Here is a 15,122-nt window from a genome sequence, read left to right as displayed (position 1 = left end):
TTTCCAGGGGTATGGATGGAGGTCCAACTCCTGCCTTGCCTGAGTTGCAGTCACTTTGCTGGGGAGCGCAGAGCCACAGCATGTAAGGCTCCCATGTCTCTGTGTGTGCCTGAGCAGCTGCTCTGCTGAGACTCCATGCAGCCCTGTGTGTCAGACCAAAGGCCCTGGTGGAGTGGGTTCACAAGGGAATCATCTGACTTGGAGGTTGCAAAGATCTGTGGAAGAAATGTGGTTTCCCAGAATCACACATTGACTCACCACTTCCCTGGCTGGGGAGAGGTTCCCCTGGCTTTGTGTTTCACTCCCACTCCTGGGTGGGCCATTGTCCTGCCCTGCTTTTGTACATTGTCCATGGGTTGAGCTGTTTCCTTGATCAGTCTCAATGCAAGGAGCTGAATGTTTCAGTTGAAGGTGCTGTATTTACTTGCCCCTTTTGTTCCTCTCTATGATGAGAGCCATGCACACTAGCTGCTTCTAGCTGGCCATCTTGGCCGGAAATCTCTTTTCTTTTTTGTTTTGATGCTTTTATTTAGCCTCAAAAATGGGACATGGGTTTCTTTCTCTGTCTATCAGTTTTCCTCTCTCTCTCTTTCGTTCCTTCTAAACTTCCTTCCCCTCCCTCATGTCTTCCCTTCCTTCTCATTTTTACCTGCCTCAAAAACTGGCATGAAATGAATTGGGCTCTTCTTTACTTCTTCTTCCTATGTGTAAGTACAAACCAGGTCACAAGATTGTCATTCTCTCTTCTACCTCCTGTTTTGCTCATGACTCACTTTGGTAGTTAAACCAAGGTTCAATCTGTTTTGTGGACTTAACACTCCCAACAGGTGGGTCACTAAGATTAGACTGGAGCAGGTATTTGAAGGCCATCAGCTTGGTCTCATATACCAGCAACATTATTATATTTAGCTTTGTCACAGAGTTGTGCATTTGAAGGGCATTGCGCTATTATTAATAAGCTGATATTTTAGGCCCTATCAGCCTGTGTACATTCTATCAGCCAGAATTCTGGGAGAGGGTGGTCGGCACCCTGACTCTAACATTAACTTCTTTAACAGTAAAAACCTTTATTAATTTTTCTGTTCAGGAATTCTCTCCTGTTTAGAAATTCTGACTGAGCTTACTCCATCAAAGCAATCTTAAATTTTAACATACTAAATGTGGCATATTAATTTCTTAATACGAAGACCTGACCTTTCAGATCTCTCTCTCTCTCACTACACCTGTTTTGACATCATTGTGATTTCCAGCACTTTTGTGTCTTACCATTACCTATTTCTCAGCATCAAATAGTTTCACTTACCATTTTCTTTAACTTAAGCCCTGATTTTTCTTCTTTTAAACACCCTCATACCTACTCTTCCATGTCTTTTTGCATGCTCCTTATTGGATTAATACAATCATTCACCTTTATGATCCTGTATCTGCTCTGCTGAAGGCTAACTAGCATCGGTCAGTACTTTGTATCAATTTATGTTCCTAGATTTTGCCTCACTAACTTTTAATTTTAACTAGTCAACTTGAATTTTACCATACTATGCTAATAGTATATAGTTAGATTCTAAACCTAGGAGAGGCACAGTCTGTGTTTTCAATTTCTCAGGGAAGACTTTTTTCTTTCTTTTCTTTTTTTATTTACAGCTGAGACAGAAACAAACTTCTTCATTTTTCCTCTGTAGGAAAACATATTCTCCCCCCACCCCGTCCCCCAAGATCTTCTTTTACTGGTAGTCCAGTCCTTTGAGGCATCTCGTAATTAAGGCGTGCCACTTCTAATTTTATGCAATTTTTAGTACTAAGGCTTCAAAATATTTGCATGCTTGGGCAACATAATCTGAACTCTTAGTCTTAACTGACTTTGATAGTCCCATTTTCCCACTCAAGAGCTATTGCAGAATCAGACTTAGCATTATTGCTATGGCTTAATTTCCCCCTTTATTCCTATCTTCTGGTATTTTCTTTTTTTTTCTTAAGAGGTAAATTTTAAATAAGTTTGTTATATTTTATCTAGCACTAATTTGTTTTGTATTTATTCAACAATGTTTCCAGCTTTCAACTTATTTTTATTATTTCTTTTTATTTTGATAGGTATTTGCTCACCCTAACCTACAGGTGAGGAAATGTGACTATCCCAGTACCATGTGCTATGAAGTTGCAGAGCTAGAATTTGAACTCAGAAAGCCCATGCACTTTCCCACATACCCCAGGATGAGATTTTAGTTTCTAAATTTTACTTTTAGACCTCATTCAATTATCATCCTCTTCTATTAAAATTTAAAAAGAGGGAAAATATAGAAGAAACATCTACTTCTTATAACAATACAGACTTCTAAACTCTTGAATAATATTGATATGATTTTTAGAGAATCATATTTAGGTTATTAAACTTCTAGGTGAATATTTTGGGGGTGAAATATTTTATTTCTTTCTTCAGAGGTATAAGCTGTCCTCAAAATATATATTAGTATTTTTCCAGGTTTTATTTATTTATTTATTTATTTTTTAACTTTTATTTTAGGTTTAGGGGTACATGTGAAAGTTTGTTACAGAGGTGAGCTCATGTCATGGGGATTGGTTGTACATATTTCATCACCCAGGAATTAAGCCCGGTACCCAACATGTATCTTTTCTTCTTCTCTCCCCTCTCCCACACTCCACCCTCAAGTAGACCCCAATGTCTGTTGTTCCCCCTTTGTGTTCGTAAGTTCTCATAATTTAGCTCCCACTTACAAGTAAGAACATGCGGTATTTGGATTTCTCTCCTTGTGTTATTTCCAGGTTTTAGATTTTAATATTTTAAGACTAGGAAGTATGAAATATTTTCTTTAATTGCTTTGTAACTCAGATAGCAAGACTTCGATATTTACATTATGGAGAAAGCACTTAGAGAGAAGAAACACAATCAGAAAACAGTCTTCCAAAATGCCATCCCGTACATAGGAAAATATCTTGCATTTGAGGAAATCTTGCCCCACTGTGAGTCTGCCCTTTGCATCTGCCAGGCATCCCAGCAGCATCACTGGACTGGGACCAACTTGTGTGGCTGTGACTGTATCTTGTCTTTTCAAAAATAAGACAGAGGAAGGCATGTAGGAGCAAAAGAGGTTAAAATGATAGTATACATTAGCATATTTAATGGTTAATGATAAAGGACCACACTTTTCCTAGTATCAATCCCATATTTATCTATGACCAGCACTTTTCCCTAGCTATCTGCTACTGGTGCCTTCAAATCCAGTGGGCATTTAGCAAGTTAACTGGCTCTAAGGGCTGAATATATTGGCCTATATTGCTTGTGGCTGTTTCTATAGTTATCCTATATGCTTCCATATGAGAAATTAAAAATCAAATGACTTAAATATGGAAGAAAGTGGAAACTTATTTGGGTGGGAAGTTCATAACTTAAACAATGCTTTATATATGTACTCTTTAATATGTAGAGTGCTAAAGAATTTGAAACTATGGATGACATGGATGATCTAAGAAGAAAAATCAGCAAAATTGATCAGAGAAATATAATACATAAGTAGGCTGGTAACTGTAGACAAAATGAGTGAAATACATGACAAAAATGAATCCTACAAAGTGCCTAACCTGATGGAGAATGTTCATTAGAAGGAAGATTAGAAAAGTGAATAAATTGACTTTAAAATCTCTTCTTATTTGAAAAATTTTCAAAACTATAGAAAAGTTAAAAGAGTAGTACAATGAACACCAGTGTATCCCACAACTAGATTTACTGTTAAAAACTGCCAAGTTTCCTTTATCTCTCTTTGTAGATAGACACATATTTCTTTTTTGTCAAATCATCTGAAAGTATATTTCAACCATGGTGAAACCTCACCTCTGAAAACTTCAGTATGCATCTAGCAAAAACAGGAACATCTTCCAACAAACACCGAGCTATCATCTATCTAAGAAATCAATACTACTTATGTAATACTACACAGTATGTAGTCCATACTATATACCAAATTTCCCCGCTTTTCCAAAATGTTTTATATAGATGAGTTTTCCCCCTTTTCACATAGGATCCAACCGAGGTTCACACATTGTAATTGTTATGTCTCTGTAGTGTCCTTAGAATGCTCCTCTTTCCCTCAGCAGGCTCACTCTGTCCTTTGTGACTTTGAATGCTTTAAATAGGCCAGGTCAGTTGTCCTGAAGGATGTCCCATATACTAGATTCTTCTGTTTATTTAGGGTTTAGTACAAAAATATCCAGCAAGAACACTTTCAGGCTCATTTGTTTCTGTTTGTATTCTATGTTTTTATTTTTGGCATAATTTTATATTTTGAACATGTAGAATATTTACATGCTTCAAAAATCAAAACTGGTGGCACAGCTTGATTGGCCTGGTGGCAGGTGGGCCCAGGTGTCAGCCCTTCATGGTGGTTCAAGCTGTGGACACTGGGCTGGAAGGCCCCAGAGGTTGGAAGCCCCCAGCTCTGAAGTCATGGGATCTGACAGTGTGGACAGTTAAGTGGGTCAGCACTTCTGTTGAGTCTATGAACAGGGGTTCAGCCATCCAGACAGGCTTTACAAAACTGAACATCTACATTCAAGGCAAAAGGAGAAAGAGATGAAAATAATGGTGACAGCTCCAGTCACAAGCTGGACCAACCAAAGGTTGGTTCATGTCCTTTTAGTGAGTCTACCAAGACCATTTCCCTGTATATCTCCTCTGAACAGCAATTCCATCTGCCCAGGCCTTCAGAGTCAGATGACTTTATTGAAGACACAGCCGATATGCTGTGTTTCATTCAGTGGATACTCTAGTGCCCCAAAGAATCAAGAGCAACTTCCCTTTGGGAGGCCAAGGCAGGCGGATCATGAGGTCAGGAGTTTGAGACCAGCTTGACCAACATGCTGAAACCCCGTTTCTATTAAAAATACAAAAATATTAGCCGGGTGTGGTGGCGCATGCCTGTAATCCCAGCTAATCAGGAGGCTGAGGCAGGAGAACTGCTTGAACCCAGGAGGCGGAGGTTGCTATGAGCAGAGATGGAGCCACTGCACTCCAGCCTGGGCGACAAAGGGACACTCCGTCTCAAAAAAAAAAGAACAACTTTTGACATTAGCAAGCATTTAAGCATTTTGAGGGAAGAAGGAAAAGTTTTCAATAAAAAGGTTTATTACACTGCAGGCTACACCAGTCCTTTCAAATTGCTTAATAGAAATAATAAAGTTTAATTGATTGAGAAAAAGGAGTCCTCCAAAGAAAATGAATGAGAAAAGGAAAGGAAGTTCCACTGCCGGGGGAAAGCTTCTGTTTAACCTAGACATTAACACTACCTATCATAAAGTGTGTGTCTAGCATCTTTGTGAGAGCACTACAATGACTCAAGCTCATTCCCAATGTGCCTTTTTAGTGTGTGAAGCTTTGTCACAGGGGACAATAATCTACACACATGTAAATTGGTCATAACTATGGTGGTCTTTGTTTTCTGTGGGGATTCAAGGAAATGTAATGTTGATTCCCCCTTCTTCACTGCATCACAATCATGTTGCCTTGTGCCAGTTGGATGTCATCCTCTCCAGATATTATCAATCAAAATATTAAAGATTTTATTTAACAAATCAAAACTATAGAATGTGATATAATCAGGGAAGTCTTCTTTTCACACGTACCCCATCTACTCCAATCCTACTTATTTCTTATAAGAAACTTCTGTCATCAGTTTCTAGTCTATCTTTCCTGTGTTTTCTTTTGTAAAAATAGGAAAAACATATTTATTTTCTTATTTTTTATTTCTCACAACATATTTGACATTACATACACTCTTTTCCATATTGTTTTTCTTAAAATAAATTTTCTTTTAATACAACATTAGGCTTTCAGAAGAGTTGCAAAGATATTAGAATTCTCATATGCCCCTCACATGGTTTCTCCTGCAGTTAAAATTATGTTTTCCTATGGAATATTTGTGAAACAAACAAACAAAATCAACATTTACAAATGACTATTAACTGGATTTTACGAGTTTTTCCACTAATATTCTTTTTCTGTTCCAGTATCCCATGAAGGATCTCACAGTGGATTTTGTCACATGTATCTTTAGTCTTCTCTGCTTTGTTAAAGTTTGTCAGCTTTTAATTTACTCATGACCTTGCCATGAGATGTATTGGTTGGATATTTTGTAGAATACCCACCAAATGGGGTGATGTTTTTCTCGTGAAGAGGTTGGGATTATGGGCTTTGGGGAAGAATACAACAGAGATAAAGTACCTTTCTCATCAGGCCATATGGGGACATGCTATCAACATGACTTAACGACTAGTGATGTTAACTGTGCTCAGTTGGTTAAGGTAGTACTTGCTAGAGTTTCCCACTAAAAAAATATTGTTTTTCTTTTTCCATATTCTATTCGTTGGAAGTGATTGAGTCACTATGTACAGTTCATGCTAAAAAGGGGGTGGAGGGTTAAGCTCCACTTCTTGCAGGGAGTGTAACACCTTGCTTTTCCACTTTTCAGTATATCTTGCAAAGCACTCTACATCATATTCTTTGTCCTCTTTACTTTTTATGTCTATTAGAGTAGTTGCTTGGTTGGATATACCATAATTTATTCAACCAGTGCCCCACGGATGAACATTTAGGCTTTTCCCAATAGTATTAAATTATAACATTAGTTATAAATATTAAATTGTAATAGATGACTTTTATCAAATTAAATAAGGTCTCTTCTCTTCTTGGCATGCTGAGAATTCTTAATGAGGTTGTGCTGAACTTTATCCAATGCTTTTCTGTATCTACGGAGATATTATTACTTAATCCCTTTTTTAATATAATAAATGACATTGATTCATTCAACTTTACATTCCTGATACAAAATGTATTTAGTCATAATGTATTAGTCTTTTTATAGATTATTGAATTGAATTTGTTACAAATTTTTCAAGAATTTTTGCGTCTTCATGAGGGATATTAGTTTGTAATTTTTGCTTTTTATAAATCAACAATTCTTCATTAGGTTCTTACACTTACCAGGTCTGATTAGAGAATGTTGTATGTTCTCTCTTAATTATAAGGAGTGATGACCTGGCAGAAGTACAATCGATTCTGTCTCTTGGCTGGTGGATAATTTCAGTTCTTGTGTCTCTTAGCTCTTGATAATAGCAATGATTCCTTCCACCAAAATGAATCATTCAAAGCATTTCCTTCGGTGAATCAGTCTGGGCATATGTGTTAAGGAGAAATCGCAATACAACCCAAGCAACTTAATTATAAATTCTTTCATTGTGATGCTTCACTTACCCTTTATTGAGAGAATCAGGAAAATATCTTTATTCTTTGTAATCATAATTCTGAGCATTTATTGAAGCACCCTCCTTTTTGCTACCAACTGTCAGACAGTAGAAAGGGCTTTGCAAGAAGCTTGATTAATATCTGGGTGTCTTGTTTAATGAACACATTGATTAGAATTTCCATATATAGGTCTTGAATGAGAATAAAGCTAAGAATTAAGAAGTTTCCCAGCTGATGTCCTGGGTGTTTTAAATTGCCTTCTAGTCCATAGGAACAGAACACTGATTTTTAATTCTGCTCAGTTAACAAGAGCCAGTATGAGTTTGCACTTTCCTTGTGGGTTTACTTTAGGGTCAGGATGGAAAATCTAAACTTAGGCAATAGAAAATAATATGTGCAGAAGGCATTTAACCACCCTTGCTTTTGAACACAGAAACATTCCCTACCATTATCCTTCTCCTTAACCTTAGTTCACTCATGGTTAATTTTGAGTTGAATGATAAAAATATACATAAAATACAAAGGTATGTGAGATATATAAAATTAAAATAACCTTCCATAAGGAAAAGAGATAAGAACAGTCATAATCTACAATGGCATTTAAGAATAAAATATAATGTTTTATCCAGATTGCAGTGCATTATTATTTAATTGAGGTCCAAATTGTCCTAATATAGACAGCAGATATATTTATTTTGACTTGCATTGTGTTTAAAAAAAATGTTTAGTTGATGTTAGCATTTAAATATCAAGAGATTTTTTTAAATAAAATTCCAGAATTCTAGTTCTCTTGGAAAATTTGTCTGATCTAGGCTCTATGCTATTCTGAAAATGATAAGCTGTTGCTGAGTGGTGCCGCATCCCTCAGATGGGTAAGTCTGGTTTGTCCATTTTGTAACAGTCCACGCTTGGGCAATCTTACTCATTTGAATCAACTTTCTGGCCTGAGTAGACATTTCGGTTTAAAATCCCTGACAAAATTAGTGATAGCTTTCTTTATTTGAATTTTTATGAGCATACTAAAAAAAACTAATTTCAAATCAACACAAATACTGGATGATTCTCTGAAAAGACAAAGCATTTCCCTGTAGTGACATCTACAACTTATTAGAGGCCTTTCTAGAAAGGACAAGATGAAAGCAATGGGGCTCAAAGATAGTTAGTCTGTCTTCTAATTTGTATTTCCTTCCTCCCTCTTTCTTTCTTTCTTTCTTTCTTTCTTTTTTTTTCTTCCTTCCTCCTTCCTTCCTTCCTTCTTTCTTTCTTTCTTTCTTTCTTTCTTTCTTTCTTTCTTTCTTTCTCTCCTTCTCCCTTTCTTTCTTTCCCTTCCTTCCATCCTTCCTTCCTTCCTTACTTTTTCTCCTTCCCCTCCTTCACCTCCTTTCCTTTCCTTTCCTTTCCCTTTCTTTCCCTCCCTCCCTCCCTCCCTCCCTCCCTCCCTCCCTTCCTTCCTTCCTTCCTTCCTTCCTTCTTTTCTTTCTTTCTTTTCCTTTCTTCTTTTTTGTCTTGCACTGTCACCCAGGCTGGAGTGCAGTGGCATGATCTCAGCTCACTGCAACCTCCACCTCCCGGCTTCAAGTGATTCTCCTGCCTCAGCCTCCCGAGTAGCTGGGATTACAGGTGCCTGCCACCACACCCAGCTAATTTTTTGTGTGTTTTTAGTAGAGACGGGGTTTCATCATGTTGGCCAGGCTGGTCTCAAACTCCTGGCCTAGGTAATCCACCCGCCTTGATTTCCAAAAGTGCTGGGATTGCAGGCGTGAGCCACTGCACCCGGCCCTAATTTATAAATTAATAATTACTTATTTCTAAAACAGTATTAGTTAATTTCTGTTAAAGATCAGATTTGGTAATTAGATGGTAAATAAAACCAGGAGGTACTGGGGAAGATGGAAACCAAATGTAGATCAACGCATACATTTATTAACCTGATTTGTATACTTAAACTAGATTATGCTAAAGTTTGGCTAGAAATGTTTACTCCCTGAGCATAATTATAACACACAACCAAGTTAAGAATATATGGGCTAGGCTGGGCGTGGTGGCTTACGCCTGTAATCCCAGCAGTTTGGGAGGCCAAGGTGCGTGGATCACCTGAGGTCAGGAGTTCAAGACCAACCTGGTCAACATGGTAAAACCCCGTCTCTACTAAAAATACAAAAAAAAAAAAAAAAATTACAGGTGTGGTGGCAGGCACGTGTAATCCCAGCTACTCGGGAGGCTGAGGCAGGAGAATTGCTTGAGTCTAGGAGGCGGAGGTTGCAGTCAGCTGAGATCACGCCACTGCACTCCAGCCTGGGCAATGGAGCAAGACTCCATCTAAGAAAAAAAAAGAATTTATGGGCTAGCCTTCATATATTATCCTTTCATAATACTTAGTTGACTTACATAATTAACTCGTTCACAATAATTAAGTAGCTAATTGTGGAGCAAGAATAAAAATAATTATTCTGGTGGTCCATTTTTGAGGTCTAACAATGCCAACTAAATCTTGTATTTGTTATATTACATGCCAAATGGATATTTTATTGGTGAATTAACACCACAGGGAATCCATCAGAATGTATCTACTAACAATCTTGTCCAAATATCTTTAACATATACATATAAATACTGAAAAATCACATGCACCAATTATCAGAATTACATGAATGCTTTATCTGATTTAACTGCAATGAAATTGTAGAGTTTTATTCACTTAGATAAACAATGAAATTAATTGGAGCTTCATAAAAGGTTTGTGTGCAATGAGAGTATAAGGGAGCTCAGCAAGTTTATAGAGATCAAAAGAAAACTGTCTTATAAAAATAGGTCATTTTTGCAATAGATTTGAATCCTAGGAAGCAAGCTTTCTCTGTTGGACATTTGTGGCCTTTAAGGCCATTTTGTTTAATCTCTTTACTACACTTGTAAACTCAACCAAAAAAAAAATCCCTGTGTGATGAAATTTACTTTTTATTATTTGCTTTTGAGAACCAGGACTCAATTCCCAGGGCAGGCAGTTAATGTTGGTTAATAAGAACTATGTTGAATGGCTTTTGTAGGTTTTCACCTCCTTGTGTGCCACTTAAGTAAGAAAAAAACAAAGAGTTTTGTCATGATTTTAGACCTTTTTATAAGACATGCTGAATAATGATTAGAATTCCATGTCTAACTATGGTAGTCAGCTAGACTTCCCACTGGGGAGTAGATTTTTATCATTTTACCAAACCCTCAGAACTGACCTAGGAGACTTGTGATGGTCTGAATATCAAGTCTGTTCAATTGCTCCTTTCCGCAGCTGAAACTTAGAGTTTGGAAGAATCTCTGGTGTTGGGGTAAATTTGGATGTGTTTTATTATGTGGAGTAATTCCAACATTTAAGTGAATGATAAGATGTATTTGGAGTAAAATGGAGGAGAAATTTTGGATGCTGAGAGTTGATTATTTTATCTCCCCATGGGCGCTAGTAAAGTTAGACTTTCATGTTTACTGTGATAATGTAAATTTGGTGATAAAACATATATGTTATATAAATTTTCAAATATCGATGCACAGACCCCATCAATTGTTCTTATTTCAGTTATTTTATTTTTACTTTAATTTTGAATATGGTGGCAGTACTTGTCCATTGTTAAAGTAAATCTGACAGAAAATATGTGTTTAGAAGGATCTTTCTATGGCCTGAATTTCTTCTCGAGTCTTTCCCTATCCTTTGGGAAGAATTCCCTGTCATGTCAGTCTTCTCTTTCTCTGGATGTTTAATACTCTCTGCCAAATATGCTAACATTTGGATAAATATATTTTTTTCAAATTATTCATTCATAGATTTGTTTTTTCTAGACACTTTGTGAGATCTCCAAGGACAAGACCATATCTCCCTCTTTTTTAAAAAAGTTTATTATACTTTAAGTTCTGGGATACATGTGTAGAATGTGCAGGTTTGTTACATAGGTATACACGTGCCATGGTGGTTTACTGCACCCATCAACCCATCATCTACATTAGGTATTTCTCCTAATGCTATCTCTCCCATAGCCCCCTACTCCCCGACAGGCCCTAGTTTGTGATGTTCCCCTTCCTGTGTCCATGTGTTCTCACTGTTTAGCTCCCACTTATGAGTGAGAACATGTGGTGTTTGGTTTTCTGTTCTTGTGTTAGTTTGCTGAGAATGATGGTTTCCTGCTTCATCAGTGTCCCTGTAAAGGACATGAACTCATCCTTTATTATGGCTACATAGTATTCCATGGTGTATATGTGCCACATTTTCTTTATCCAGCCTATCGTTGATGGGCATTTGGGTTGGTTCCAAGTCTTTGCTATTATGAACAGTCTCCCTCTTTTTTTATTCCTGCTATTCTGACCCAATAGATAACTGATTACATAGGATTAAGGAATACTTTGTTTTCATAGTTATGTATAAAAATATCTACATTTCATTTTAGAGGTAACCTCTCTCTTTTTCTAACTTAATATTGTATTACATACAGAATATTTCTCACTGTATGTGATCACAATTATCATGAGCAGCTTTGTTGAAAAGAATCATGTAATGTAATAGACTTTTCGTATTTCACACATGTAAAACTGTAGGTAGATCTGTGTATAAAATCGAGGTGTACAACATCCATTCTCAAATCAATGCTCTTTTTCTGAACTCTATCTCAAGAAAATTTATTCTTTCATCAATTTCTGGCCATTTGGTTTTCTCTTACCCAAGGACATTGTCTGTCATTCTATTCCTGTGGCCTATTTTTTTTCCCCTGCCATCTCTGCTTAAAATTCCAACAGCCACAGGATACGTTTTCCTTCAGAACTCCCACAATAAGGGTCGCTTTAATGCTTAGCAGGTTTTAGCTTACAAACTCAGTGTGTAGGAGCCAGTGCTTCCCTCTATTTTCTTAAAAATCAACTCAGTTCTAACACTGAGATTCTCCTCCTATAAGACAGTTTGGAAACTTAATCTGAATAATAAGACCCTCCCTAAAAGGGTTATGACAGTCACTCATAGAACTGAGATATAGGGAAGAGCCAATCATTGCCTTGCACTGGTAACTTTAGAGATTCCCTTTTAAATATGCAAGCTCTTCAACTACTTTGCTACTCTTGAGGCACAGGGATTCTATGAACCTTGAAACTTCAATGGCTAGGAACTTATCTTCAGATATGTTTTACACATATCTGAATGATTACTGTTATTACAGAAGTTAAAAACACGTCCTCTTACCTGTCTTAGGGATTCTTCTTGACTTCAGAAGCTTTCTCCCTCTAAGCTCACACTCTTGGACACTTGCCATTATCTTTCATGTCTTTTACTCCATTACAAAAGTCAAAATTCCTGAGGCAAGAACACACAAAACTGGTTGCCTATCAGCAAGGTAAGAAATAGGAGTCTCTACAAGGAGAAAGAGGTACATTAACTTTCCCAGAGCCTCACTGCTTTTTGCCCCTTGAGATTTAACAGAATTTTGATCATAGAGACACAACTGATATGCCTCATAAAGCAAACACCATTTTCTCTTTTTTTCAGTTTTCTTTTCTTTTTTATTTTTAACTTTAAGTTCCGGGATACATGTGCAGAATGTGCAGGTTTGTTGCATAGGTATAGATGGCAAGCACCATTTTCTAAGGAGCTTGAAATTCCGGGAGGTGTGGAAGAAGACTACTCAAAATGGCAGCAGGTTTGAATGTTCACAGAAGCAGCTGTTGTTCTTCCAAACCCAGGGACAACAGAACTGTGGTGTAGTCTTGCTCCCTTGCCGTGGGACCCAGATGTGGCACATACCTCCAGACCTCATACAGAAGTTCCTCTTCTAAGGTTAAATTTATACACTTTCTTAAATATCAACAAAATTAAAAAAAAAAAAAACTGTTTCAGCTCTGTCCACCTCCAACAGGTAGGCAAAATAATTACTGTGCTAGATCACAAAGTAAAAATGAATGCAACTTGGTTTTTGTTTTTTCCCCTTCCTATTCTTTTCTTACCTTCTTTCCCCTAATCCAAATATTCTGTGATATTTATGAAAAGTTAGAGTATATTAAAAAGCTGGATGATGATTTACTAAACACCTGCATTGGTCCTATAGTTAGATTTTGAACCAAGGAGAAAGCCTTAATGCAAAATTTAAATCATCACAAAATATCAGAGTCTTAGAGATCGTGTTAGTTCATGTGACTAACTTTAAAGCTGTAAACATGGCCCAATATTTTTAAGAAAATGATTATAGTATTATCTATATATTATCATAAGTTAAGAGATGATGGGTGGAAATTGTGGGGGATATCTGGTACAGAAAAAATTAGAATTTACTTAAAAATTTGCTACTACATTACAATCTACTTAATACCCATATTTAATCATCACTTTGAATTACTTAAATCTTATTTTCATATGAAAAAGGTTGAGCTCTTCCACATTTTCTTTTTTATGAATGTTTAATAAAAAAATTAACTTGGACTCCATTACACTTTTTCAAAATGCTTTCAAAAGATTTTTTTAAGGCCTCTTTTAACATTAACACTTCAGTATACTGTAGTTGATACTTTCAAAAGAATTAAACTGCTAGAAAAATGGTACTCCCTTTGGGATATTTACCAAGCCATGCAATATTTTAAAATGTGGTAAAATATTTCTTGTTTCAGTGAATAAGAATGGTCTTCTTACATAATGCAGGGATGGAAGAAGATACTTGGAAAAATCAGGGAAGAGTGAAGAAGATACTTCAAAAAATCGGGGAAGATTTTCATCATAAGGTCCAAGCAAAGGCATGAGTATAAGATGTGTGTATGTGATACATAAGATTTACTTCTAAACAATTTAAGAGGATAAGGGATAAAAATCACCATTCAGTTTCTAAGTGAATACAATATAAATAATATTGATGATGAGCAAAGGAAAATACAAAATAAATTAAAAGTCATGAGAAGATAAAGAAACTGGATCAAAATGAGAGTTCAACAAAGGGAGCAATAAGAAAACTAAATAGGAAAAAAGTAATAAATATAATCTCAAACTACAGATGCGGAGAGACAAAGTATAGGAGGAGAGAATGTTTTTTGTAGAAGGGGGTCCATGGACCCGTGAAGTGACCATATGGCCCTAGACTGCCCCAGCTTCCTTCTGGAAGCCCTTCTCAGTGCTGCCTTAGCTGGTATCTTGTTTTGTAGAGCAGAGCAGAGCAGAGAAGTCAGCATCTTCAACAGAGCCCCGATTCAATTCTGTATTCTCTCACTATCTCCTAAACTCCTTTTTGGAGTTCCTACTCTCATTTTCATCCTCTTTGTAATGTAATATGATTTGCTCACTTCAAAAATTAAATCTGTGCATTAGATCTGTAACATTGTTGAGTTAAAATTAGAGAATTCACAAACTTTGATGGCAACAATACCTTGAATAATAAAAGTAAACACATATATAGAACTTTTACTCTTTTAAGCACTTTATATATATTAATTCATCTAATCCTTTCAACACCTCTGAGATATGTCTTATGATCATCACCATTTTACAGATGAAACAAACACACAAATATGAAACACAAGCTGTACAATGGAGGAGGATGTGAAACTAGGCAGTTTAGCCTTCAGTATCCATATGCTTAATCTTTCTGCTATACTTCCTATTGTTTTGGAAATGGAAACTGAAGAGCAGATCATATGATGGCACCTGACAAAGTCTTATTTTATCATAAAAAAATGCAGCCAGTGCTAAAGCTACCTACTTACCTTTAGCACTTCTAATATTTTTAGGGTAAGTAATGGCGTAGTCTACCAGCTCATCTCATTTGCACAATACTTTGTTTCACTCCCTATTTTGTCCTCTGTCTGCATTTTTACTCTCAATTCCTGTGTTTGTTTCCTGGAGGTTTTGTAACCTATTACCACAAACTTGGTG

General features: G+C 36.5%; 1 long non-coding RNA gene and 1 pseudogene across 2 annotated transcripts in view; both read left to right on the top strand.

Moving 5' to 3' along the window:
• The window catches only part of LINC01876 (long intergenic non-protein coding RNA 1876), a 234,397-nt gene that overhangs the window by 216,454 nt on the left and 2,821 nt on the right, over positions 1 to 15,122 (top strand). Inside the window, exon 2 of one of the 2 annotated variants that reach the window (NR_110249.2) lies at positions 13,902 to 13,993. This is a non-coding gene — a long non-coding RNA (long intergenic non-protein coding RNA 1876). Of the gene's footprint in view, positions 1 to 13,870; positions 14,013 to 15,122 lie in introns of both variants that reach the window. The other variant, NR_110250.2, reaches the window with a different exon arrangement.
• HEBP2P1 (HEBP2 pseudogene 1) lies at positions 5,053 to 5,429 on the top strand (annotated as a pseudogene).

Source organism: Homo sapiens, chromosome 2 (assembly GCF_000001405.40).
Source record: "Homo sapiens chromosome 2, GRCh38.p14 Primary Assembly".
Taxonomy (NCBI): domain Eukaryota; kingdom Metazoa; phylum Chordata; class Mammalia; order Primates; family Hominidae; genus Homo; species Homo sapiens.
This window is presented reverse-complemented; position numbering and strand designations above follow the sequence as displayed.